General features: G+C 36.0%; 1 protein-coding gene across 1 annotated transcript in view, besides 1 other annotated feature; it reads left to right on the plus strand.

The window, feature by feature from the left end:
- Positions 1–26,463, plus strand: part of CDC73 (cell division cycle 73) — a 132,785-nt gene that overhangs the window by 81,436 nt on the left and 24,886 nt on the right. The window contains exons 11-13 of the mRNA NM_024529.5: positions 329–386; positions 8,599–8,634; positions 8,924–9,011. Coding sequence (NP_078805.3) covers positions 329–386; positions 8,599–8,634; positions 8,924–9,011 — 182 coding nt within the window. The remainder of the gene's footprint in view (positions 1–328; positions 387–8,598; positions 8,635–8,923; positions 9,012–26,463) is intronic.
- Positions 13,525–13,584: an enhancer, noted in NCBI's record as "active region_2269". NCBI's record gives its function as "activates an Ori minimal core promoter by ATAC-STARR-seq in GM12878 lymphoblastoid cells {active_cell/tissue: GM12878}" and the evidence as "EXISTENCE:reporter gene assay evidence [ECO:0000049][PMID:35858748]".

Below are 26,463 nucleotides of genomic sequence, written 5' to 3' on the forward strand. Positions count from 1 at the left end.
ACATTTCTGAGAATATTAAAATTGTCAGCAGTTAAGCAAATCATTTAAAAATATTACATGCTTACAGTAACTACTCTGTAGTAACTAAGTTTATTTTATGCTAAAGATGTTTATTATGATCTCATGACTTAATAGCATAAAAGATCAGGAGAGTTTTCATTTTTATTTTTTTCTTAAACTGTAGGTCATAACATGTTCAGTGGAGTAACCAACTGAGTGAGAAAAACAGAACAAGAGACAGAGAGATATGAGATTTCTTTGGAATAATTAAAGTGTTTATTATGTAAAGAAACTTTGATCTTATATATCAATTCTTATTCTTTTAAAGGAGGGTGCATCTGCCCGGAAGACTCAGACTCCTGCAGCCCAGCCAGTACCAAGACCAGGTAGAAATATAGAACTTTGCTTTTTGTTTTCTTTCAAAAGATCGTAACAGTGCAAGTTTTTAGTATGCGTATAATGCTTTGAACAAACTTAAATTTTACTTAAAATACATTGCAAAGTCATGTTTCTTTGAAGACTGTCGATACTGTTTAAGCAGATCTCAAAACTGTGATAATATACATAAAATGCTTGCTAAACTTCAGTCAGCATCATTAGTAAATCTTCATGTTTTTAGCAGAAAGACATAAATAAAGTGAAAGCATAGTAAATTATTTATTTTCCTATAGTGTATTAAGCAGCTGAACTGGATTTTGTTTTTTATATATATATATACACACACACACATATATATACGTGTATATATATGTATATATATGTATATATACACGTATATATATGTGTATGTGTGTGTGTGTGTGTGTGTGTGTATATATATATTTTTTTTTTTTCTTTTTTTGAGACAGAGTCTTGCTCTGTCACCCAGGCTGGAGTACACTGGCGCCATCTCATCTCACTGCAAGCTCCGCCTCCTGGGTTCATGCCATTCTCCTGCCTCAGCCTCCCAAGTAGCTGGGACTACAGGCGCCTGCCACCACGCCCGGCTAATTTTTTGTATTTTTAGTAGAGACGGGGTTTCACTGTGTTAGCCAGGATGGTCTTGATCTCCTGACCTCATGATCCGCCCGCCTCGGCCTCCCAAAGTGCTGGGATTACAGGCTTGAGCCACTGTGCCCGGCTGATATTCTTTACCGAAGTAATGTTTTCCCCAATTTGATTCAAAGGTCATTGATAAAATAGGTTATAAAACACTGTTTTTCAATAATGGATTTATACTATAGAACATTTACTTGAATAAATAGGTATAGAGAAGAGTTAAAGAAAATTTTTAAGAAAATGTTTTCATTTTGGTTAAGATTTTAGAAACATGTTTTAAAACATTTTTAAAAGTTTAAAAGCTATTTATGTATATCCATCCTTTCATCAGTTCTCTCATAGTTCCGTGGTAGTATGTACAGATGTGAATTTTTTTCCTGCAGCAGCACAGAATTATAATTTTAATAGAATCATATTCAGCTTTGATGCTTAGAACTTGAGATATCTGTGTTGAACACCTAAAATTCTGTATCATTTTTTTTTAAAATGTGTTAAGCAAAGCTGGTATTGAAGTTATTTTAGAAAAATTCTTCCCCCTATTCCTAGTAACTAAAAAGACTGATTTTTATAGATCATTTAGATACCAACCCTGTATTTATTTTTGGTCTTTTGGGTTTGTTTTTGGTGTTTGGTGTTTGTTTTATTTTTACATTTATTTAGCATAATTTCAGTGCTAGGCTATACCACCTGTCCCCCCCCCCCCCTTTTTTTTTAAACTCATCAGTGCTGTTGAAAGTGAGTATGAAGAAAGAAAATAAAGGATTGGAAAGGCACAGGCAAGAACTTAACTGAATCTTCTGCATGAATTTCACAGTATCAATAGTGCAGATTTGGATATCCTCATTCATAGTATGTACACAGGCTAATTCTAAAATTATGTAGATTATGAATATTAAATATTTTCTGGAGGCACATCAAAAGTATGGTACATGGGGCTTATATTGGGATGTTTTTGCAGTGTGATTTCCCTGTGTCTTGTATTCATACTCCTCTTAGATGTGGCTAGTATTTCCTTTTTTTGTTTTTGTTTTTTGTTTGACAGTAGGTTTGTTTGAAATTTTTGTCATTGCTGTTATTAAGTAGGTGTGGAAAAGAGGAGTGCTCTGTCAGCCTTGTTATACTTAGACTAGATTGGATGTAGTTAAGATGACATGACTAATTTTCAGTAGGGATGATCATACCAGAATCCATCGTGAGAGCATAAGAAGAACAATTAAATTCAACAAATATTATTTGAATTTCTATATAATAGGCTCTTGTCCAGAAACTAAGAGAAGCTAAAGGAGCTTTTTACAGGAAGGAAGAAAAAAGTGAAGGAAATAGGGATGGACAGATGGGGTTGGGCCCAAAGAATACTAAACATGAAGTATAGGAATATTGTGGAGGCAGTTGAACCACAGATAAGAGAATTGTTTGTTTTTCTTTGTAAGGTAGGGATGGGAGGTTATGGTATGTCAGAAATGGTATTATATAAAAGGGGAAAAGCCACCACCTGAGGATTGTAACTTAGTATCTGTGATGTAAAATTTTTTCTATTTTGCATTTTCATAAAAGAAGTTAGTATGTAAGGAAAGGGCTGGGAGAGGCACTGATACCTAAACAAACCATTTTGTTCATATGTGTCTTGTGATAAAATTAAAGGGACTGGATTTTACTAGCCAGGTATGTGGCTAGGGGAAGATCATATGTGTAAAGTAAGGGGTTCTAAGTCTTTCACCTCTTAATGTTCTAGCTTACTTTTTAGCTAAAGTGCCCTGGGGATTAAACCAATGGAAATTACTCTGAATGAGTGTCTCATCATACCTCAGATATTCTAATGCTCATCCATGTGAACTTTCTGCTTTCTACTTCCACTTAACTGCTTCACACCCATACATCCACATTTCCTACCCATCATTCTAAAATAATTAAGGTTTTTGCTCTCATTCAGCAATAAGACTTGATTGGAATGGATAGTAGTAGTTTGAAGTCTTTATTTGTCCTAATTAGTGTATTTTTATTTTGCTGCCAAAACTGTTAAATGCATCTGCTTATGGGGTGTAGCCCAGTTTTGAAGGGATATTGTTTAATATCTGACATGTACACTAGTATTATTTCTTTAAAATCTGAAAAATGTGAATGCCCAAAATATATATGGCCAGTGTAAGAAGGGGGATTATAGAAGTATAACTGTTATTTGTTGGGTAGAGTTTGCATAATTTGGAAATGAGAGACTGTCTCACCTATTCTCTCTTTGAGTGAGATACCTCAAGGGTGGAGTTCTGTTTTTTGAGCATTCACAAATTTTTATTTCTCATTTCATCAAATATTTATTTAGTGCTGTTGTGCCAGGCAAGTCTCTGGGTAAATTTAATGTTTTAAAGTGTTTACAGTTAAACACTTTAAACCTATAAAGCTCTAAAAATTTCCAACCTCTCAAAATTCATTTAGGGAATATAACTAACAAGAGGCACATGTTTTCCAGTGGATTCATAAATACAGGCAGTTGAAAGTATCGGGGGAACCAGCCCCCAATATTTAAATAGGTTCTTTTTATTTTCCCTAAGTGTCAGCCTGTCTGAGAAATAAAAAGAGTACAAAGAGAGGAATTTTACAGCTGGGCCTCCAGGGGTAACATCACATATTGGTAGGTCTGTGATGTCCCCTGAGCCACAAAGCCAGCAAGTTTTTATTAGGGATTTTAAAAAGGGAGGGGTTTTTATTAGGGATTTTAAAAGGGGTATACGAACAGGGAGTAGGTCACAAAGATCACATGCTTCAAAGGGCAATAAAGATCACAAGGCAAAGGCAAGATTAGAATTACTGATGAGGGTCTATGTCCCTCTCTGCACATATTGTCATGACAAACATCTTAACAGAAAACAGGGTTCGAGAGCAGAGAACCAATCTGACCAAAATTTACCAGGCTGGAATTTCCCAATCATAGTAAGCTTGAGGGTACTGCAGGAGTCCAGGGCGTATTTCAGTCCTTATCTCAACCACATAAGACAGACACTCCCAGAGCAGCCCTTTATAGACCTCCCCCCAGAAATGCATTCCTTCCCCGGGGTATTCCTTGCTGGGAAAAGAATTCAGCGATATCTCTCTTACTTGCATGCCCATTTTTAGGCTCTCTGCAAGAAGAAAAATATGGCTGTATTCTGCCTGACCCCACAGGCAGGCAGACCTTATGGTTATCTTCCCTTGTTCCCTGAAAATCGTTGTTATTCTCTTCTTTTTCAAGGTGCACTGATTTCATATTGTTCAAACACACATGTTTTACAATCAATTTGTACAATAGTGGTCCTGAGGTGACATACATTCTCAGTTTACGAAGATAATGGGATTAAGAGATTAAAGTAAAGACAGGCATAAGAAATTATAAGAGTATTATTAGGGAAGGAGTACTTCTCCTCTTATCCCATAGTTTTAAATCTATGTGCTGATGATTTCCAAATTTGTTATCTCCAATTCAAACCTCTGGTATCTTATATTAACTGTCTGTGTAACATTTGGATTTGCCGTAGGCATTTTAAAACTAATTAAGATAAATTTTTCCCTGCTATTTTCCCCAAGGTCTCTTACTCTATAGTCTTCTGCTTTTTCATAGAGTGACACCACAATCAACTTTGTTTCTTAAATCAAAAACTTGGAAGTTATTCTTTATTCATCACATTTCCTTACTCCTTTTCTGTTGGTGGGTTCTGTCAGATGTGCCTTTTCTGTATTCCAAATTTATCTATTTTTCTTTATCTCCACTACCACAACTCAAGTAGAAACCATCATCATCTCTCTAGACCAGTGGGTCTCAGTGTGGTCGGTTGCCTGGTGTCAACCTTTTTATTTCCGGTGGCACCTTTTTATTTCTGGTGCCAACAAAATAGACATAGAAATTGAGGGTAAAATAGTGTCATAGCATCTGAGTACATAACCATCTTTCTAGAAATTCATTGCTATTATATTTTATTCAGTTGGCTTTGAATTGGAATTTAAAACAAAAACTCAACCACACATAGTTTGAGTAGCACCATTGTTGACTGTTGTAATAGTCCTAACTGAGCTTTCTGCCTTCACACTTGTACTCTTTTCGATCCTTTGTCCAAATCCATTGTTTTTTTTCTTCCAGACTTGTGACATGAAAATAAAATCTTTTCACTTTCTGGCTTAATAGTTATAGGACTTGCCAGTGTCACTTAAATGTAAACTTAATATTGCTTAAAAAGCCCTACATGAATTGGTCTCTGCATATATTTGTAACCTCATCTCCTGCCATTCTTCCTTTCTTCTCTGTGGTCTACACATTTGTTTTGTTCAGTTCCCCAAGCGCAGCAGTTTCTTCCCGCCTATGGTATTTGCCCGTATTCCTACCTCTTATCTGAACTGTTCGCCTACTTGTTCTTGGCAAGTTGGCTTGTTTTCATCTTTCAAATTTCAGCTTAAATGCCACTTTCTTTGAGAAGCTGTTTGCATTATATCTAAAGGACACTTTTCTGCCAGTATACACTCATTTTGTTCCCTTAGTATGTGTTCCAATTAGATTATGTGTTTGGTTGCATTTTTGTTTATGGTCTGGGCTCCCGTACTCTGCTGAAAGCTCTTTGAGGGCAGGAATTACTTCTGTTTTATTTGCAATTTAATAATAACTTAGCAGTGATGCTTGTACATAGGCTCCAAATAAATGTTTCTTAAGAATCTAATTTATTTGAAATCAAACAGAGCAACAGTAATTTTTCTTATGGTTTATTCTCAGCTTGTAAATTGGCAATTAGCACACTTGCTTGAGTAGCGGTAGTAGTAGAAGTGGCAGCAGTTAGCATCTACTGTAGTTGCAGGATTCAGTAAATGGTAAGTATGTGCTAACACCTAATTAAGGACTTTAGCATGCATTATTATTTTTTAAATTCTCACAGCAGTATCAAGATATAGAAACTATTATCTCTTTTACGATTGAGGAAACTGAGGCCGAGCAAAGTTAATCAGCTTGCCTAGACAGTGGCAAAATAAGGATATGAACTAAAATAATCTGAGTACAGACCTTTGCTGTTGATCACTCTGTCATACAAACTCCTTATGTTTCTCTCCCCCTCCCCCGTTAAGATCAAGCTTCTCATTGACATGTTCATCACAGTGTCTCAGTCTGGGTCCTTACATACTAGGGAACTTGTTTATATTCTTTTGCAGTTATCTTTTTTAACTAAACCTCTAAACTTTATTTTTAACATTTGTGAGTTTTTTTATTTTGCCTTTTTCTTATATTGGGTCTTCTCAGCCTTGAGTTTAGTAAATGTTTGCCTAAATTCCTGAGGGCATTTGTGGATTTCCTTACCAAATCCAACAGTACTTCAGTCAGAGATTTCTCCCTTGCTCTCTCTTTCTTCTTCCCTCTCTTCCTCTCCCCCCTCTCTGCCTTCCTTCCATCTTTGTTTTTTTGTAGTTCCCTTTAGTCATAATAGCAACTCCTGTTTCCTGTTTATCCATCCTGTTACCCCTTTATCTCTCCAACAAATGCCAAATATTTACCGAGACTATATTATATTCCACATGACACTATGTAGCCAATGAGATTTATCCATGACCCTTCATTTCTCAAATTGATTTAAGAAAATTCTAGTATTTTTTCTCAGCAAGAAGAAAGATGAGAAAACTGTAATAGTAAAGGCATATGTCTCAGTATGTGTTTGTGTATATAGTTATCTGCTTTCTGTGGCTGGGAAGGTCATACTACTGAATCCTATGACAGTTTATCACAATGAGAGAGCTATATAAAGGATTACAAAGAATTAGTGAAAATGTAGCATTTTGTTGCTTTTTAAATAGAACATTTTCTGAAAGTGTGTGTGCTGTGTTATTCACTTTAAAGATGGTATCCATTTTTAAGAACTGACATTGAATTAGAATTTTAAGTCTCCTAAATTTTTCTTTATTTTTGTCATTTAAAAAACAAAACTCAAGCACAGCTTGTAGCACATTGAGTTATTGTATGGTCAAATACTGAAAATAGAACTTGCAGCACTTTTTATCCTAAGATGTATTCATCTTGTGTTAGGTTATTATTACCATTATGTCAACAAATATTTCTAAGCATTAAAAGTTCATTGTATATAAACAAAATACAAACATATGGGCCAGGCTCAGTGGCTCACCTGTGTAATCCCAGCACTTTGGGAGGCTGAGGTGGGAGGATAGCTTGAGCTCAGGAGTTCGAGATCAACCCTGGGTGACATTGCGAGACCCTGTTTTTGTTAAAAAGAAAGATAGGAAGATTTGTGTATGTATAACATGATCACAATCAATCATATGGTCATTTTCAGATAATATAGACCTTCACATATACATGACTGATTACCTGTAATGCTGTATTTCTCACCTAAAAAGAGACAAGAAACAATTTTTAAAAGAAAGAAAAAAAAATAAAAGGAATCTTTTAGCCTTAGATCTCAATAACTTCTTTCCTTTTCTTCCAAAATGGTTAAGCGTATTCGCACTTCGCACAGTAGTATTTGCTCGTATGCTCTCTTTTCACAGTTATTACAGTGGTAATCAGCTTATTATGAAATTATTTCTTGTCTCGCTCTTCTCTTTTTTGCTAGACCTGAACATCCATGAATGTAAGATACTCAGTGCCTGGCATTGTAATACAGTAGTCCCCACTTACTAGCAGGGCATACATTCCAAGACCCCCCAGCGGATACCTGAAACCAGGGAGGGATAGTACCAAACCAGATTCGGTCAACCAGAACATGTTTCTCTTATGTCTCCCATAAATTTAATGCCTTTTCCATCTTAACACTATCACTCACTGTGGCTGAAACTTTTGCAGTTTGAGGTACAAAGGCAAAAGTAGCACGAATTTCTTTTTCTTCTTCGCAGTTACACGGATGGTAGATTCAGTATTTTTATCGTAGATGTTAGCAACCTCGGGATGTGATTTTATTTTTTTCTCTTCAACTTAGTAGTAGAGATTTTCTTGTCTACTTAGTAGTAGAGATTTTCACCTTTTCACCTAAGGGAAACACTTAATGTCTTTTCTTTGGTAGTGGCATATCCAAATTGTCAGCCTTATCACTCTTACACTTTGAGGCCATTCGCAAGTAAAACAAGGGCTACTTGAAACAAGCACTGTGATAACAGTGAGGGAGATGACTACTGAGTGACTAAAGGGTGGGTAGTGTATAGAATGTGGATATGCTGGACAAAGAGCATTCACATCCTGGGTGGGGCAGTGTGAGATTTCATTATGCTCCTGAGAAAAATGTGCAGTTTCAGTCTTGTGAATTGTTTGTTTCTGGAATTTTCTATTTAATATTTTCAGACCACAGTGGACTGTGGTTAACTGAAACTGCAGAAAACAGAACTATGGATGTTGTATATTCACTTTCCTTTTGACTACAGATTGTTGAATAATGCATTTTAATATTTTTGTCAAACAGTGTTGAGAAGATAGTTGTAAAAAAAGTCTTCTGATTTACAGTTAGTCATATGGGAATACACATAATTTAAAAAATATCCCTTATTTGTAAGTTTGAAAATAAGAATATGGTTTTTATGACACAGAGTTGTGATTTTTTTTCTTTTTCACAGTTTCTCAAGCAAGACCTCCCCCAAATCAGAAGAAAGGTGAGGTTGTGCATATGATTTTAAACTTAACTTTAAAAAGTAAATGATTGCAAAACCAGGCCTGATAATTTTCTTGTGCAGCTGTATCACATGTTTGTGCTTGGTATCCATTCTGATTTATTAGTGCCCAAGCCACACTGATTATTAAATATTTTTTAATATCCACTGGCTTAAAATATTTTTTAGATCAAAAGTTAAAGTTACAATTTATAATCTTTTAACTTTTAGTAGAGAAAGTAAGTATAATTTCTAATAATATATTTTCTACCTGTAAATTTTGTCTTTATAGGATCTCGAACACCCATTATCATAATTCCTGCAGCTACCACCTCTTTAATAACCATGCTTAATGCAAAAGACCTTCTACAGGACCTGAAGTAAGTAATTTATTAAACTATCCTGTACGTAGGATATTGAGATACCATTGGAAAATAGTAGTTACTGAATCAGTATTACTTATTTGGAAAAAACAAAATTTCGGTTTCTGTGCTATAGGCCTTACACATAGTATGAAGCATACATTTTCAAAACAGAATATATTCTTTTATATTTGGATCCTTTAGGGAAAGTTACAGAAACTTCTGGCTAAAGTCCTAATGAAAAAAGGTACTATCGTATTAACTTTTAATATGAATTGTTTTCTTTTGATGATTTTCTCTGAGAGAGCTTGAGGAAGTTCTAAAGCAAATTCAGGTTCTCTCTGAATATTAGATGTTATACCCTAGTGGGAGTAAGTGGGCGGGTAGGTGGGGGCATAGTTATTTAACCTAGATAGCAGTGAAAGTTAAAGAAGTGAAAATGAAACCTATAAATGATGATAAAATTTCCAAATGCTTAACTTTTCAAAAATTTTAATGTCTATTTTCCTTCCTCATTTCCTTATTAAAATGAATACAGTCACACTTGTACCCAGTTTGTTCTAATAAACATGCATCACGGTTATTGGGCACAAAATAAATCTCTTCCATCCCCAACCACTTTCAGATTTAAAATTTAAGTAGTTTACGTATATTTTCCCATAGCATTTCTTCTATTAATGAATATGAGTAGACATACCACTTTTAAATATTGTGACTATTTTTAAATCTGTATACTACTTCTTGGATTGGCTATAGTTTACAGAAGAAAGATGGCAATATAAAAATTGTTTTAAATAATCTTCAATGATATAGACATTAACAAGGTTTAAAATGAGCCATGTTTAAGTGATTTTCAGAATGCTATCAAGTTTTTTAGACACAGTGTTGCAAATTTTTTCCTCAGTAGATTTTTTTTTTTTTTAGTCATACTCATTGTTAAAATGGGTAAATATTTTATATATTCAGCTAAATACCATTGCCTGATGTGGGATTTTAAGATAGTTCCTTCTGTCAGAATGCGTTTTATGAAATAGGGGATAGAAAATGGAGGAATTCAAAAATTGTAATACATACTCTTTCAGAGGATAAGAGAGATGTTGTGATCACTAGTTGGAGCGAAGGTGGTTAACTGTATTCTGCTTTAATATTTTCGTAGTGTTTGTTGCATTCTCATGGTACTTCTTATTAAACAGAAGCTGTCAAATTGTCCTGTTGTGTTACATACATACCTGATTATTTAATTTTGGTATTTGTTAGGAATTTGGACTGTTGCTCACTAATCTTAATATGGTATTATTTGAAGTGCTACTGGCTTGAAGTTACGTCCTTCCAGAGTGATTTTGTGATTGCTTTGCCAGGTGCTTCAAGAATATCTCAAGCCTTGAGTTGATTTTTGTGTTAAATTCTTAACATAAGGATTTCTAGTCCATCTGGGTAGTATAAATTCAAATTTGAATCAGACCTGAGTGACATTGGAACCTGGCTGACAAATTATCCAGGAGCCCCTTTTCTTCCCCTGCTCCAGAGGTAGAGCAAGATGGATATGCTTCCCCGACATTTGATTGGAAACAGTTTTTCCCTCTACTTTAACCTTTTGTTGATCATGTGACTCTTCTGTGGCTCTAGTTCCAGTTCCTCTGTGTCCTTTCCCTATGTAGTTGGTAAAAGCCAATTCTTAGTACTGCCTACACTTTCCTCATGGGCAACACCAGTGCACTTTATTGGTCGTCAGCATTTTCTTCATTTGTAGCCGATGACTATTTTCTTTCTAGCTCAGCATTTCAGGTATATGTTACATTGTATTTAGCATTTCCAGGTGTTTATGTATAAAGTTCCCGTTCCAATAATGCAGTGTACCAGATAGTATAACCCATTTTAGTAGGAACTTATTAGTCTGCCAAATGTAGCAAATTTCTTAATTCATGTTTCATAATTGTTTGAGTTGTACCTGAGGGGAATTAAAAATGCAGATTATTGGCTGGGCACGGTGGCTCACGCCTGTGATCACAGCACTTTGGGAGGCCGAGGTGGGTGGATCATGAGGTCAGGAGATCAAGACCATCCTGGCTAACACAGTGAAACCCCGTCTCTACTAAAAATACAAAAAAAATTAGCCGGGCATGGTGGCAGGTGCCTGTAGTCCCAGCTACATGGGAGGCTGAGGCAGGAGAATGGCGTGAACCTGGGAGGCGGAGCTTGCAGTGAGCTGAGATGCCGCCACTGCACTCCAGCCTGGGCGACAGAGCGAGACTCCTCAGAAAATAAGAAAAAAATAGATTATTTTATAAGCTATTTGGCCACTTAGATTGTTTGCAGTTGGGATACACTTGACATTAGAAATAAGTTTTAATGTTTTTCTAATCAGTGATGTTGATGCCTTAACTATGAGACAGATTCAGATGAATTTAGTGATAACTCTCATTTGGGGAGATTGATGTGTATATTGGGTTTGTTGTTTCAACTAACATCTACAGAGCAATAACTAAAAAGTAAATTACTCTAGATGAATATACAACACGCCCAACCTTCTAGGAGCTCACATGAGAGTGGTACTGGTTTGTCACTAGTTGCAGCTGCTGAGAAATGTGTTTAGCACTTGGTGTAAAACTCAGTTTCAATGCCTTATTCTAAGTACAGTGAAAAATATACTGTCTTTTGACTCTCTGCAAACTTGAATCACATTCTGAAGATAGGTTCAGAAACAAATTAGACCTCAACAGTTAGCCTTTAAAAGCTTTATCTAGCTTCTCTCAAATTATGTGCTGTTAGTGAGAATGTATATAATAGTGATTTTTCATAGTATATAAACAACTTGAAATGTATTGTTTTCTACAACTTGAGACCTAAAAATGATATACAGTATATCTAGTTTGACCCACTCTTATTCCTAAACAAAAATACTGATATATAAAAGAAACTTAAAGTCTATTTTAGCCTTTTACCTCTGCCATTTAGTTGCAGAGCAGGAAATACAACCAGATCTCCTGATGATCAATTTAGTAGTCTTATTATTTGTACTGTGGAGATACCTAACAAACATTCAGATTAAGAAATTAAGTTTTTATACAGTTACATAGAAATTAAACAGCCTGGTCCTAAATCGCTTTTGGGCAAAGAATGAAATTAACACAGGTTTTTTTTTTTTTTTGAGACAGGGTCTTTCTCTGTCACACAGGCTGGAGTGCAGTGGTGTGATCTCGGCTCTCTGCAACCTCTGCCTCCTGGGCTCAAGCAATCCTCTTGCCTCAGCCTTCTGAGTAGCTGGGACTACAGGTGTGCACTACCACACCTGGCAAATTTTTGTATTTTTTGTAGAGACTGGGCTTAGCCATGTTGCCCAGGCTGGTCTCGAACTCCTGGGCCCAAGTGAGCTGCCTGCCTTGGCCTCCCGAAGGGCTGGGATTACAGGGATGAGCCACCATGCCCAGCCTCAAAAAATTCTTTGAAACAAATGAAAACAAAGATACAATGTACCGGAATCCCTGGGACATAGCTAAAGCAGTATTAAGAGGAAAGTTCATAGTGCTAAATGCCTATATCACGAAGTTAGATCTCAAATTAACCACCTAACGTCACACCTGTAAGAACTAGAAGAACAAGAGCAAACCAGTCCCAAAGGTAGCAGAAGAAAATAACCAAAATCAGAGCTGAACTAAATTGATATGTGAAAATCCATGCAAAAGATCAATAAAACCAAAATTTGGTTCTTTGAAATAATACGATTAATAGACTGCTAGCTAGATTAATAGAGAAAAACAGAGAAAAGATCCCAATAAACACAATCAGAAATGACAAAGGGACATTACCACCAACTCCACAGAAATACAGAAAACCCTCAGAGACTATGAACACCCCTGTGCACACAAACTAGAATACCTAAAAGAAATGGATAAACTCCTAGAAACATATAATCTCTCAAGATTGATTTAGGAAGGAATTGAAATCCTTAACAGACCAATAATGAGTTCCGAATTTGAATCAGTAGAAAAGAATCCTACCAACCGGAAGCCCCCCAACCCCAAACCAGACAGATTAACAGCTGAATTCTACCAGATGTATAAAGGAGAGCTGGTACCAGTCCTACTGAAATCGCCCCAAAAAATCAAGGAGGAGGGGCTTCCCTAACTCATTCTGTGAAGCCAGCATCATTCTAATACCAAAACCTGGCAGAGAGACAATTAAAAAAAAAAAAAACCTGCTGGCCAGTATCCCTGATGAGCACAGATGCAAAAATCAACAAAGTATTAGAAAATCGAATCCAGCAGCACATCAAAAAACTAAAACACCCTCATCAAATAGGCTTTATCCCTGGGATGCAGGGTTCGTTCAACAAATGCAAATCAGTAAACATGATTCGTCACATAAACAGAACTAAAAAAATTACATGGTCATCTCAGTAGATGCAGAAAAGGCTTTCAGTAAATCCTAAAATCCCTTCATGTTAACCCTCAACAAACTACCCATCAAAGGAACATACCTCAAACTAATGAGAGCCGTCTATGACAGTCCTACAGCCAACATCATACTGAATAGGCAAAAGCTGGAAGCATTCCCCCTGAGAACCAGAACAAACCAAGGATGTCCACTCTCACCACCCCTATTCAACGTAGTACTGAAACAGGAAATGTTCCTTTGTCTCCCTCCCAGGGCTTGCGGTGGGGGTGTGGCTTGCTTCTTCAATACCCAGCTGCTGCTGAAACCTCTAGGGGAGCACACCGACGGGCAGGCTGTGGAGCTCAGACTCCACGGCATTGTCTAGGGGTGAATGTTTACAGCTGAAGCCCCAGTGGACGTGTGTTACAGGGTGCTCTTTTGGTTTACCCTATAGGCGGCTTGTGTTAACCAGCTCAGACCCTCTACCTTATCACAAGGACAAGATACTCTGCTCTATCGCAGAGTTTCTTGTCTTGGTGTACTGGAAGAATCGGATCACATGTAGGCTTGGAGAATGAGTGCAAGGTTTTATTGAGTAGAAGTAGGGGAGCCAGAAAGGGGATGGTTTTCCCCTGGAGTCCAGCCGCTGTGGCCAGACCCTGCGTCATTCTGATGGCCTGTCAGCCTGCTGGTGCCTGTTGGTGTGCTCTTGACCACCAAGAGCTTGCTTGCTGTGTCTTCTTCCGCCAATGTGTTCCTCACATCCAGCTGCTTGTGTCTTCTTCTGCTGATATGCTCCTTTTGACGTCTGGCCACCTGTGTGTGTGCCCACTAGGGTCTTGGGTTTTTATAGGCCCTGGGTGGGGGCATGGCGAGCTAGGGTGGTCTTGGAAAATGGAACATTTGGGCTTGAAAGCAGAAGTGCCTGTCCTCACGTAGGTTCATGAGGGTGGAGCCCTAGCCAGGGACCAGGCCCTCCTCTACCCAGCACTTGCCTTCCCCCATTCCATATCATTTAAAGGGACCATGCTCTTGCCTTCCCAGTACTCCTGTATCAGTACTGGAAGTACTAGCCAGGGGACTCAGGCAAGACAAAGAAAGAAATAAAAGGCATCCAAATAGAGATGCCTTCTATCTTTGTAGACAATATGATTCCATACCTAGAAAACCCCATAGTCTCTACCTAAAGATTCCTAGCACTGATAAACAAGTTTAGTGAAATTTCAGATACAAAATCACTGTACAAAAATAAGTAGAATTTCTATACACTAGTAATGTCCAAGCTGAGAACCAACTCAAGAATTCAGTCCTATTCACAGTAGCCACACACTCACACATGCACACACAAAACACCTGGGAATACAGCTAAACCAGGGAGGTGAAAGATCTCTACAATGAGAATTACAAAACACTGTGAAAGAAATTAGAGAAGACACAAACAAATCGAAAAACATTTCATGTGCATGGATAGGAAGAATCAATATTGTTAAAGTGGCCATAACTGCCCAAAACAACTTACAGATTCACTGCTATTCCTAGCAAACTACCAGATTTCATTTTTCTCAGAAATTCGAACAAACTATTCTAAAATCCATATGGAACCAAAAAGGAGGCAGAATAGCCAAAGCATCCTAAGCAAAAAGACCAAAGTTGGAGGCATCACACTACACAATTTCAAACTATACAACAAGACTAGAGTAACCAAAACTGTAGTACTGGTACAAAAACAGGCACACAGACCAATGGAACAAGTTAGAGAATCCACAAATAAAGCTGCCCAGCAGCAACCATCTGCTTTTTGACAAAGTCGACAGGAACAAGCAGTGGGGAAAGTGCTCATTATTCAGTGATGCTGGGATAACTGGCTAGCCAAATGCAGAAGATTGAAACCGAACCCCTTCCTTTCACCATATGCAAAAATCAACTCAAGATGGATTAAAAGACTTAATTGTAGGACCTGAAACTATAAAAACCCTAGGAAAAAAACAGGGCATGCCATTCTGGACATAGGCCTTGGTAAACATTTTATGACAAAGTCTTCAAAAGCAAATGCAGCAAAAACAAAAATAGACAAATGGGAGCTAAACCAAAAAGCTTCTGCCCAGCAAAAGACATTGTCAACAGAGTAAACAGACAACATACAGAATGGGAGAGAATATTTGCAAGGTATGCATCTGACAAAGATCTAATACCCAGAATGTATAAGGACCTTAAGCATAAAACAAACAGTCCTGAGCAAAGGACACGAACAGACACTTCTCAAAAGAAGATATACACATGGCCAACAAACATAGGAAAGAAATGTTTAACATCACTAATCATTAGAGAAATGCAAATCAAAACTGCAATGAGATATCATCTCACATCACACCAGTCAAAATGGCTATTATGAAAACATCAGAAAATAATAGATCTTGGTGAGGTTGTGGAGAAAAGGGAATGCTTATGTGCTCCTGGTGGGAATGTAATTTAGTTCAGCCACCATGGAAAGCAGTTTGCAGATTTCTCAAAAAACTTAAAACAGAACTACCATCTGACCCAGCAATCTGATTACTGGATATATACCTAGAGGAATATAAATCTTTCTACCAAAAAGACACATGCACTCTTTAAGTTCATTGTGGCACGTTTTACAATATTAAAGACATGGAATCAACCAAAATTTCCATCAGTGGTGGATTGGATAAAGAAATCTGGTACATACATGCCACGGAATACTATGCAGCCATAAAAAACAAAACCATGTCCTTTGCAGCAACATGGATGCAGCTGGAAGCCATTATCCTAACAAATTAACAGAGAAACAGAAATCCAAATACCACATGTTCTACGTGGGAGCTAGACATCGAGTACATGTTGGACACAAAGAGGGAAACAAAAGACACCAGGGCCTACTTGAGGGTGGAAGCTGGGAAGAGGGAGAGGATCAAAAATACCTGTTGTGTACTGTGCATATTACCCTGGGTCATGAAATAATTTGTACACCATACCCCAGTGACATGCAATATACCCATGTAACAAACCTGCACGTGTACCTCTTGACCATAAAAGGAAAGAACAGCAAAATAAAGAAATTGGGTTTTATTCTGGTCTTGATAGTAGTGTGATAATAATCCAGAACAAAGCAAAGTCTTCTACAAGAGTCAAGGCCTAAGTCAGTGTTAGAATAATTATATTTTGTAATCTGAATGCTCTAATGTTGAAAATTTCCTGTTAAAAATTTTACTGATCACTGGGAAACAGTTTTATTCAGCAACATAATAAATACCCAGAAGGGGAATGTGAATGCTCTGGCTTCTTTCTCAGTAAAGTAACAATGATAACTTTTTTTTTTTTTTTTTTTTTTTTTTTGAGACGGAGTCTCGCCGTGTCACCCAGGCTGGAGTGCAGTGGTGCGATCTTGGCTCACTGTAACCTCCACCTCCCGGGTTCAAGCGATTCTCCTTCAGCCTCCTGAGTAGCTGGGATTACAGGCGTGCGGCACAACACCTGGTTAATTTTTGTATTTTTAGTAGAGACGGGGTTTCACCATGTTGGTCAGGCTGGTCTCAAACTCTGCCTGCCTCGGCCTCCCAAACTGCTGAGATTACAGACATGAGCCACTGTGCCTGGCCTAATGATAACTTTTAAAGAAAAGCCCCTTCACATCTAAAAAAACCATACTGCTTTTAACTGATTCAAAGTGAGAAGCCAATTTGCAATATATGTGGATTTCAGGTTTCACTAAATGTAGAATTGAATTTTAAGTGCCTCCAACTTAAGTAGCTTTCTTTACAAAATCTAGGTATCCCGGCACATACAAGTATATTCATACCTGAATTCTTTTTTTAAAAAATTTTTAGTACTTTTGAATGACAAAATATTCATTGAGCTGTTTTTTCATTAATAGTGTGGCTTTTATAGTAAAGTTTTAGTATTCTGGCAGATGTGAGTTTTTTGATTGCATATGTCATCTGATGAGATTCCTCAAGTAATTTACAATTGTGTGAACAAGATATACTTTTGGTCCTTGAAATAGATATGATAATATAACAGAAACTGTCAGACTCACAGAAATGGATCACATTAACTGCTTCTAAAAATTGTTTAGTTTTTGTATGAGCTTTCCACCTTTTAGTCAATATATATATGGCTTTTCATGATTTATAATCTGAAATACATGTATTTTTTGGTGATAGTTTCTGTGTCTTGCAGTCTGTCTGTAGTCTTTCCAACTAAATTATGATTTCTTCAGAGACAAGGGCTTGTTATTTTATTGTTATTTGTAGCTACATTGTTTAAAACAGTGTTAGCCAAATAATGAGTACTAAGTAAATAAAGAAAAAGAAAAGGATGAGGGAGCACATTGAGAAGAGAAGATTGGAGGATGGGGGACTTGTATACCTGAAATTTAAAGTTTGATTTTATGTATGTGTGTTTGTGCAACCCGTGAATTAATTTATTGCATTTATCTCCAAATTGAAATACCTTTTTTGATACATAGTAGTCATATCCACGCCTGGGACTCGATTTTAGTTCCCATGATGCTTCATTACACTTGGTATTGTGTTGTTTTTTTGTTTTTTGTTTTTTTTGGCATTTACTGTATTTTTTTAACCAATTTTATGATTTGTGAATTTGGTGTTATCCAATCTCACAAATTTTAGTAATTGACAACTTTTAAAAAAATAAATATATCTAACTGGTTATACAAAATTTACAGTAAGTTTGTGGAATGTTAAAAAAAAGAAATTGTCTTTTCATTCTCCACTCTCAAGAACCTTTGCAGTGTTCATCTGAATGTATTACAAATCTAATACTTAAACACTGTTTTATAGCAGAAAATAGTGAATAGTGAAAGAAATCACAAAGTAAATTTTAGTGTCATTCTCTTTAGTCTTGTTTACTACAGAGAAACCAGACAATTAAACAGACCACATTCTTAGGATAGACCATGCCTAATGTTTCTTCCAAGTTTAAAACACTCCCTTCATTGTTTAACACCTCATTGCAACTGACATCTCCCCTACAGTTTGAGTCAGCTGGAGGCTTTGCTATGTAATTAATGCATAATTGAAACCTCCTCCACACAATTATGGTACTGGCTGTAACTCATAGCTCAAGTTGGATAGAAATATCCAACTTGCAAATAGCATAGATTCTATTTAGTTTTATGTACAACTGAGGATTCTTTAGTTTTGTATATCCCTTCAATAAGTAAATGAAACAAAAAAAAATAATAAAACCCTTTAACATGCTAACAAACAAAATTGAGATTGTATTATGGAAGTATTTTAAAAAATACACTTTACATCTATAAACATGATCATGAAAGTTGTTTATTGGAACTGTAAGGTTATTTAAAATAAACGATTGGGTGTAACTTCCTGATTTTGGCCATGTTGGCAGCCACATGGGGCCGAGTTCCAAAGAGGAAAGATTGTGCGCAGAAGGAGCTCAGACGCTATGTAGAGGGTTCTCCTTACATCCGCCAAATACTATTCAGCACATGTATGTGAGAAAACTACATGAGGCCTGGGAAAAAGTCACCGGGAAAGAAACAGGCAGAAAAATTACCAGAGCGTAGACTGGACTGAGAATAGTACTTGTTCCCAACAGCCCCAGGCAATGCAAAATGATCTAGCCACTTTGGAAAATAATATGGGAGTTTATTTTTTTCCCATCACATTGAAAATACTACTCTACTGTCTTCTAGCTTCCTTTGTTTTGATGATAAGTTAGTTGTTAGTGTGATAATCAGTCCTATGAGGGAAATCTGTTCCGTGTGGTTATTTTAAAGATCATTTTAAATTTATCTGCTGTAGCTAGATGCGGATTTCTTTTTTATATACCCCACTTGGAATTTGTCAGAATTAAATCTGCGTATTGGTGTTTTTCATCAGTTCTCAAAGTCTTGGTCGTTTTGATAATCCATGAAATAAGCTTTTTTTTTTTTTTTTGCATATGTTCTGTTCCCCATCCCCCCTTTTTTCTCACCTCTTTTTGGAACTTAAATGAGACATACTTTAGACCTTCTCATTCTATCTTCCATGTTTCTTAAATGATTCCATTTTCTGTCTCATTTTCTCTGTTGCCTGCATTTTTCATTATTTCGTTACTTTTAATTTATAGTTGTCCATTTCTTTGGCCACACCTTAATCTGATCTTAAGCCTATCCATTGCACCTTAAACTTCAGATATTTTATATTTCAGTTTTTATGGTTCTGTTTAGTTATTTTTCAAACCATTATCTGTCTTTGTAATTCTTTTTTACTGTACATATTTGCAAGCTTGTTTTATTTTCTAAGCCTTGGTTTTTGGTAATTGTAGCATTTGGAGTCCTTAGTCATCTTCCTTTGAATGTTGTTTCATACATGATAACTTGTTTTCTTGTGGGTTTAGTTTTTTACTGTTCATTTTATTTTTTTTTTATTTTGTTAATTTACCAATTTACTGTTCATTTTCCTTGGAATTATTTTCTGTAGAAATTCTTTGATCTCCAAGTGAATATGACAGAACTCCAGAGAAGATGTGCATCTGTGTCTGTTAAGCACCTGGGAGCATTACCAATCTAGCATAACTTTAAATTAAATTCTCTATTGGAGGTTTTAAATATCTAGATACTGTTGTTCTTGCTGCAAATTCAAATGAGGTCAGTTTTACCATTTGAGATATTTGATTTTCCTTGCAGTTGTCAAAATAAGGGTAGGGTTAGGGTTGGGGTTGTTGGGGAAGAGGGTGAACAGTGAGTTTATTTCTAGTTTACCATTATGTTGAACTTAACCCCTGAGTCTCAGCTTTATAAGGGAAGGAACTCTTATTAGATTTTCTACCTTGAGCAGAATTTGGACTTATTTTCTATTTCAGGAGCCCAGTGAAATATAGTGAAAAACCAGGCTTAACTTTAATTGGTTTGCAAATCCAATGAATAGCAGTCTGCAGTGTTGTTCTTACTTCTTTGGGTTCCTCTCTTTTCACTTGGTCTTTGGTCTAAGTATTTTTTATACCTTGCGCTAGCTCAGATAGGCTTTTAAGATTTTTTTTCTTTTTTCCTTTTTTTTTTTGTATTGATACGTAATAGACCCACATATTTTGAGGTACATGTAATATTTTGACACATTTTTATAATATGTAATAAATCAGGGTAATTAAGATATATATTACCTTAAACATTTATCTTTATGTTGGAAATATTCAAATTATTCTTTGATAGCTATTTTGAAATATACTGTAAATTATTGTTTACTGTAGTCACTCTGCTGATTTATTGAAAACTAGGTCTTATTTCTTGTACCTGTATTTCTGTACCCATTAATCAACTTCTATCTCCTCCACTCCCCCACCCTTCCTGGTCTCTGATAACTACCAGACTACTCACTTCATGAGATTTACTGTTTACTTGTTTTTTTTTGGGAATTATTGTTGCAGTTACTTAGGGGATCTGTCATATTATACGAGAAACAGCATAAAGTCATAGTTTTTAAGGGTCATAATTTGTTAGTGTTTACTCAATGCCATTGTTCCATGTATATATATATATATATGAAATATGCATTCACATATACACATATATGAAATATGCATTCACATATACACATATGAAATATGCATTCACATATACACATATGAAATATGCATTCACATATGCACATACGAAATTTATGCATTCACATATACACATATATGAAATATGCATTCACATATACACATATATGAAATATGCATTCACATATACACATGTGAAATATGCATTCACATATACACATATATGAAATATGCATTCACATGTACACATATATGAAATATGCATTCACATACACACATATATGAAATCATTCGCATATACACATATATGAAATATGCATTCATATATGTACATATATGAGTACAAGTGCCATAATTTCCAAATGGTGGTCTCAGAGCACTTAGAAATCTTACATGGTTTTATCAAAATAATTATTTCAGACCAATTTTTTAGCTCAACCAATGTTTGAGGATGCTGAATGTGTTTTCTTTTTTTTTCTATTGTTTTAAAGATTTATTATGTTGCCTAAATTTATCTTCTTACCTTTTGTCTTTAAAAAAAAATTTATTTCCACAGGTTTTTGGGGAACAGGTGGTATTTGGTTACATGACTAAGTAGTTTGTGAGATTTTGGTGTGCCCATCACCCGAACCGTATATGCTGAACCTGATTTGTAGTCTTTTATCCCTCACCCCCCTCCCACAGTTTCCCCCTGCATCCCCAAAGTCAATTTCGTCATTCTCATGCCTTTGCATCCTCATAGCTTAGCTCCCACTTACAAATGAGATCATTCGATGTTTGGTTTTCCATTCCTGAGTTACTTCACTTAGGCTGATAGTCTCCAGTTCCATCCAGATTGCAGCAAATGGCATTAATGCCTTCCCTTTTATGGCTGAGTAGTATTCCATGATATATATATATATATATATATATATATCCACATACTACGGTTTCTTTATCCGCTAGTTGATTAATGGGCATTTAGGTTGGTTCCACATTTTTGCAATTGCGAATTGTGCTGCTGTAAACATGCGTGTGCAGGTATCTTTTTTGTATCATGACTTCTTTTCTTCTGGGTAGATACTCAGTAGTGGGATTGCTGAATCAAATGGCAGTTCTTCTTTTAGTTTTTTAAGGAATCTCCACACTGTTTTCCATAGTGGTTGTACTAGTTTACATTCCCACTAGCAATGTAGAAGTGTTCCCTTTTCACTTCATCAATGCCAACATCTATTGTTTTTTGATTTTTTGACTAGGGCCATTCTTGCAGAAGTAAGGCAGTATTGCATTTTGGTTTTGATTTGCATTTCCCTGATCATTAGTGATGTTGAGCATTTTTTTCATATTTCTTGGCCATTTGTTTATCTTCCTTTGAGAATTGTCTTTTCCTGCCCTTAGCCCACTTTTTCATGGGATTGTTTGTTTTTTTCTTGCTAATTTGAGTTTGAGGTAGATTCTGGATATTAGTCCTTTGTCAGAGGTATAGATTATGAAGATTTTTCTCCCACTCTGTGAGTTGACTGTTTACTCTGCTGACTGTTCCTTTTGCCGTGCAAAAGCTCTTTAGTTTAATTAGGTCTCAGCCATTTATATTTGTTTTTACTGCATCTGCTTTTTGGTTCGTGGTCATGAAATCCTTGCCTAAGCCGGTGTCTAGAAGGGTTTTTCCTGTGTTATCTTCTAGAATTTTTCTAGTTTCAGGTCTTTGTCCTTGATGTGTTTCAGGACTTAAGTCCTTGACCCATCTTGAGTTGATTTTTGTATAAGGTGAGAGATGATCCAGTTTCATTCTCCTACATGTGACTTGCCAATTATCCCAGCACCATATGTTGAATAGGTTGTCCTTTCCCCACTTTATGTTTTTGTTTGTTTTGCCAAAGATCAGTTGGCAAAATACTTACAGTTGGCTGTAAGTATTTGGGTTTATTTCTGGATTCTCTATTCTGTTCCGTTGGTCCTTGTGCCTATTTTATACCAGTGCCATGCTGTTTTGGTGACTGTGTCCTTATAGTGAAGAGAAGAGAATGAAATGAAGAGAGTGGATATCTTTGTCTTGTTCCAGTTTTCAGACAGAACGCTTTAAACTTTTCCCCATTCAGAACTACGTTAGCTGTGGGTTTGTCATAGATGACTTTTATTGCATTGAGGTATGTCTCTTGTCTGCCAATTTTGCTGAGAGTTTGAATCATAAAGGGATGCTAGATGTTGTCAGATGCTTTTTCTACATCTATTGAGATGATCATGTGATTTTTGTTTTTAATTCTGTTTATGTAGTGTATCACATTTATTGACTTGTGTATGTTAAACCATCCCTGCATCCTTGGTATGAAACCCATTTGATCATGGTGGATTATCTTTTTGATATGTTGTTGGATTTGGTTAGATGTATTTTGTTAAGAATCTTTGCATCTGTGTTCATCAGGGATGTTGGTCTGTAGTTTTCTTTTTTGGTTATATCCTTTCCTGGTTTTGGTCTTAGGGTATTACAGGCTTCATAGAATGATTTAGGGAGGATTCTCTTTCTCTATCTTGTGGAATAGCGTCAAAAGGATTGGTACCAATTCTTCTTCCAATGTCTGATACAATTCAGCTGTGAATCCTTCTGGTTCTGAACTTTTTTTTGTTGGTAATTTTTAAATTACCATTTTAATCTTGCTGCTTGTTATTGGTCTGTTTAGGGTATCCAGTTCTTCCTGATTTAAGCTAGGAGGTTTGAATCTTCCCAGGAATTTATCCATATATTCTAGGTTTTCTAGTTTTTGCATGTAAAGTTGTTCATAGTAGCCTTGAATGATATTTTGTCTTTCGGTGGTGTCAGGTGTAATAGCTCCCATTTTGTTTATCTTTTCAAAGAACCAGCTTTTTTTGTTTCATTTATCTTTTCTATTTTTTTATTTTTGTTTCAATTTCATTTAGTTCTGCTCTGATGAGAATGCTACATGTAAAGCAGCACACTGGTTGGTGTGCCATATATCTGAGCGATTGGCTTTGCCTTCAAGAAAACTGTTGTCCAGGTCTGGCGTGGTGCCTCATGTCTGTAATCTCAGCACTTTGGGAGGCTGAGGTGGGAAGATTGCTTGAGCCCAGGAGTTTGAAGTTTGAAACCAGCCTAGGCACTACAGCAAGACCTCGTTTCAAAAAAAAAAGAAAGAAAAGTTACAAGAATGGAAACCTGAAGTCTGTTAGGGAGATAACAGACTTTGTAGATTATCATAATAATAATTTTAAAAGCCCACTGTAAAATTGTAGAAAATTGAATTCTACTTTGAATAAAAAAGGTAAATTCATAGTGAAATACATATGGCTTAACTTTAGAATTAAATAAATGCCTAAATATATCCATAGAGATGTATTTAAAGTTCTATAGGCTAGGAAGCAAAAATTATAACATTCGTCATATTTGAATTTCAGATGCATTTTTACCTTTGGGATGCTACCTTATGGACAACTGTATTATTATATATTGATAGGCCAGAGGTGATTTGTTCAAATTTCTTGTGCAAGAGGAGGCATAGAAATAAAGTACTGTTGTTTGTTATTTAAGGCTTAAGTCTGGGTAGTACTTGATAGGCTTAAATTTTGCCCTCTTTAACATCCTAAGTTGTATTCCATCTGGTCATTGCTGCCATTAGCTGATGCTTCTAAGCTGAGAGTGGAGTTGTAGTGGAACAGGATACATTTGACAGTTGACCTAGGGTAGCTGAATTGATAGTGCTGTAATATATAGCACTTTGGTCACATTCTTTGTTAAGTTTAATTAGCTCTAGAGTATTATATACTTTACTAATTCCAATATATACAGTTATTTTTCATGATTTAATATCTCTGAAATTGTAATATGTCATATAATTGATGGTATCTTAGAGTTGCTGTGGCTAGGTGGCAGTCCTGACATAGTTTTTATTACTGGCACATGCACAAAATAGTGATGGCAATTCCTAGTTTCATCAGTTCTGTGAGATATGTGCATAGATGGTACTATATATGTTGAATTTAAATGTAGTGCAAAATATCTTCAAAAAAGATACGGTGCAATTTAGCATTGAAACAGTTATTACGGAGGAACAAAGAGAGAGGACTCACACTACCTGATTTCAAGACTTACTATCAAGTTGCAATAATCCACACAATGTACTAACGATGTAAAGATAGATAGATGAATGAAAATAATGGAGATTGCTTAAATGGGGCTATACTATTTTCGACAAAGACATCAATGCAATTCAATTAAGAAACAAATGCCTTAGCAATAAATGGTACTGGAACAATTGGATAAATATATGGGTGGAGAGGAATGACTGTCAGCCATTACCTAACACCATACACAAACATTTTTTAAGGTAGATTGTACACACAAACTTAAAAGCTGAAACTGTAAGGCTTCTAGAATAAAGCATAATAGAATGTTTTTGTGACTTTGAAATAGTTTTTTTTTTGAAGGGTGAACCATAAAAAGAAATTTTAAAACTTCTGTTCATCAAAAGACACCATTAAGAAAATAAAAAGGCCAGCCACATGCTGGGAGAAAATCTTTTCATTGCACATTTGTAACAGAAAATTTGTATCTAGAATCCTGTGTGTCAGTATTTTTAAAAATCCTATTAAAAATAAGCAAGAGATGTTGACACTCCACAAAACAAGGTATACAAATGGCCAATCAGCGCATGAAAAAAATTCTCAGTATCATCAGTTGTTGAGGAAGTAAAAATTAAAATGATGTTGAGATACTATTTCACATACCCATTAGAAAGACTAAAATTCAAAAGACTAGAAGTCTCATACATTTTTAGTGGAAGTATAAAATGGTTCAACTGCTTTGGAAAACTTCCTGGCAGTTTCTTATAAAGTTATACATACCCCATGATTCACTTGGAGGTATTTACATAAGAGAAATGAAAGCATGTGTTCACAAAAACACTTATACAGGAATTATTTATGTTAGCTTTACTTGTACGAACCCAGACCTTGAAACTACCCTGCTGTATACTGAACATTTGTGTCCCACAAAATTTATATGTTGAAACTTAGTCACTAATGCCCCAGGGTATTTGTGAAGTAATTAGGTCATAAGGGCTCTGCCCTCACAAATAGGATAAGCACCCTTATGAAAGTGATCCCAGAGAGCTTCCTTGCTCCTTCTGTGATAGGAGGACGCAGCAATAATACGGTTTACAAACCAGGAAGTGGGACCTCACTAGACACCAGACTTGCCAATATCTTGGTCTTGGCTTCGTAGCCTCCAGAACAGTGATAAAGAAATTCCTGTTGTTTACAAGCCACCCCAGTCTGTGCTATTTCTCTTACTGTATCCTGAACGTACTAAGACACACCGAAATGTCCACTAGCAGGAGAATGGTATTTTCTTACAATAGAATTCTACTTAACAATAAAAAATAATGAACTACTGATACATCCCACAGCAGGTATGATTATCAGAAACATTACATTGAATGAAAGAAGCCAGGTACAAAATAATACATCTGGTATATGAGTGTGTCTATATAAATTCCCAAAACAGGAAAAACTAATGGAAAGCAGAAGAGTGGTTGCTTGTTAGGAAGGGAATGGCATTTGACTGAAAGGTATATAAGGA

Source organism: Homo sapiens, chromosome 1 (assembly GCF_000001405.40).
Source record: "Homo sapiens chromosome 1, GRCh38.p14 Primary Assembly".
Taxonomy (NCBI): domain Eukaryota; kingdom Metazoa; phylum Chordata; class Mammalia; order Primates; family Hominidae; genus Homo; species Homo sapiens.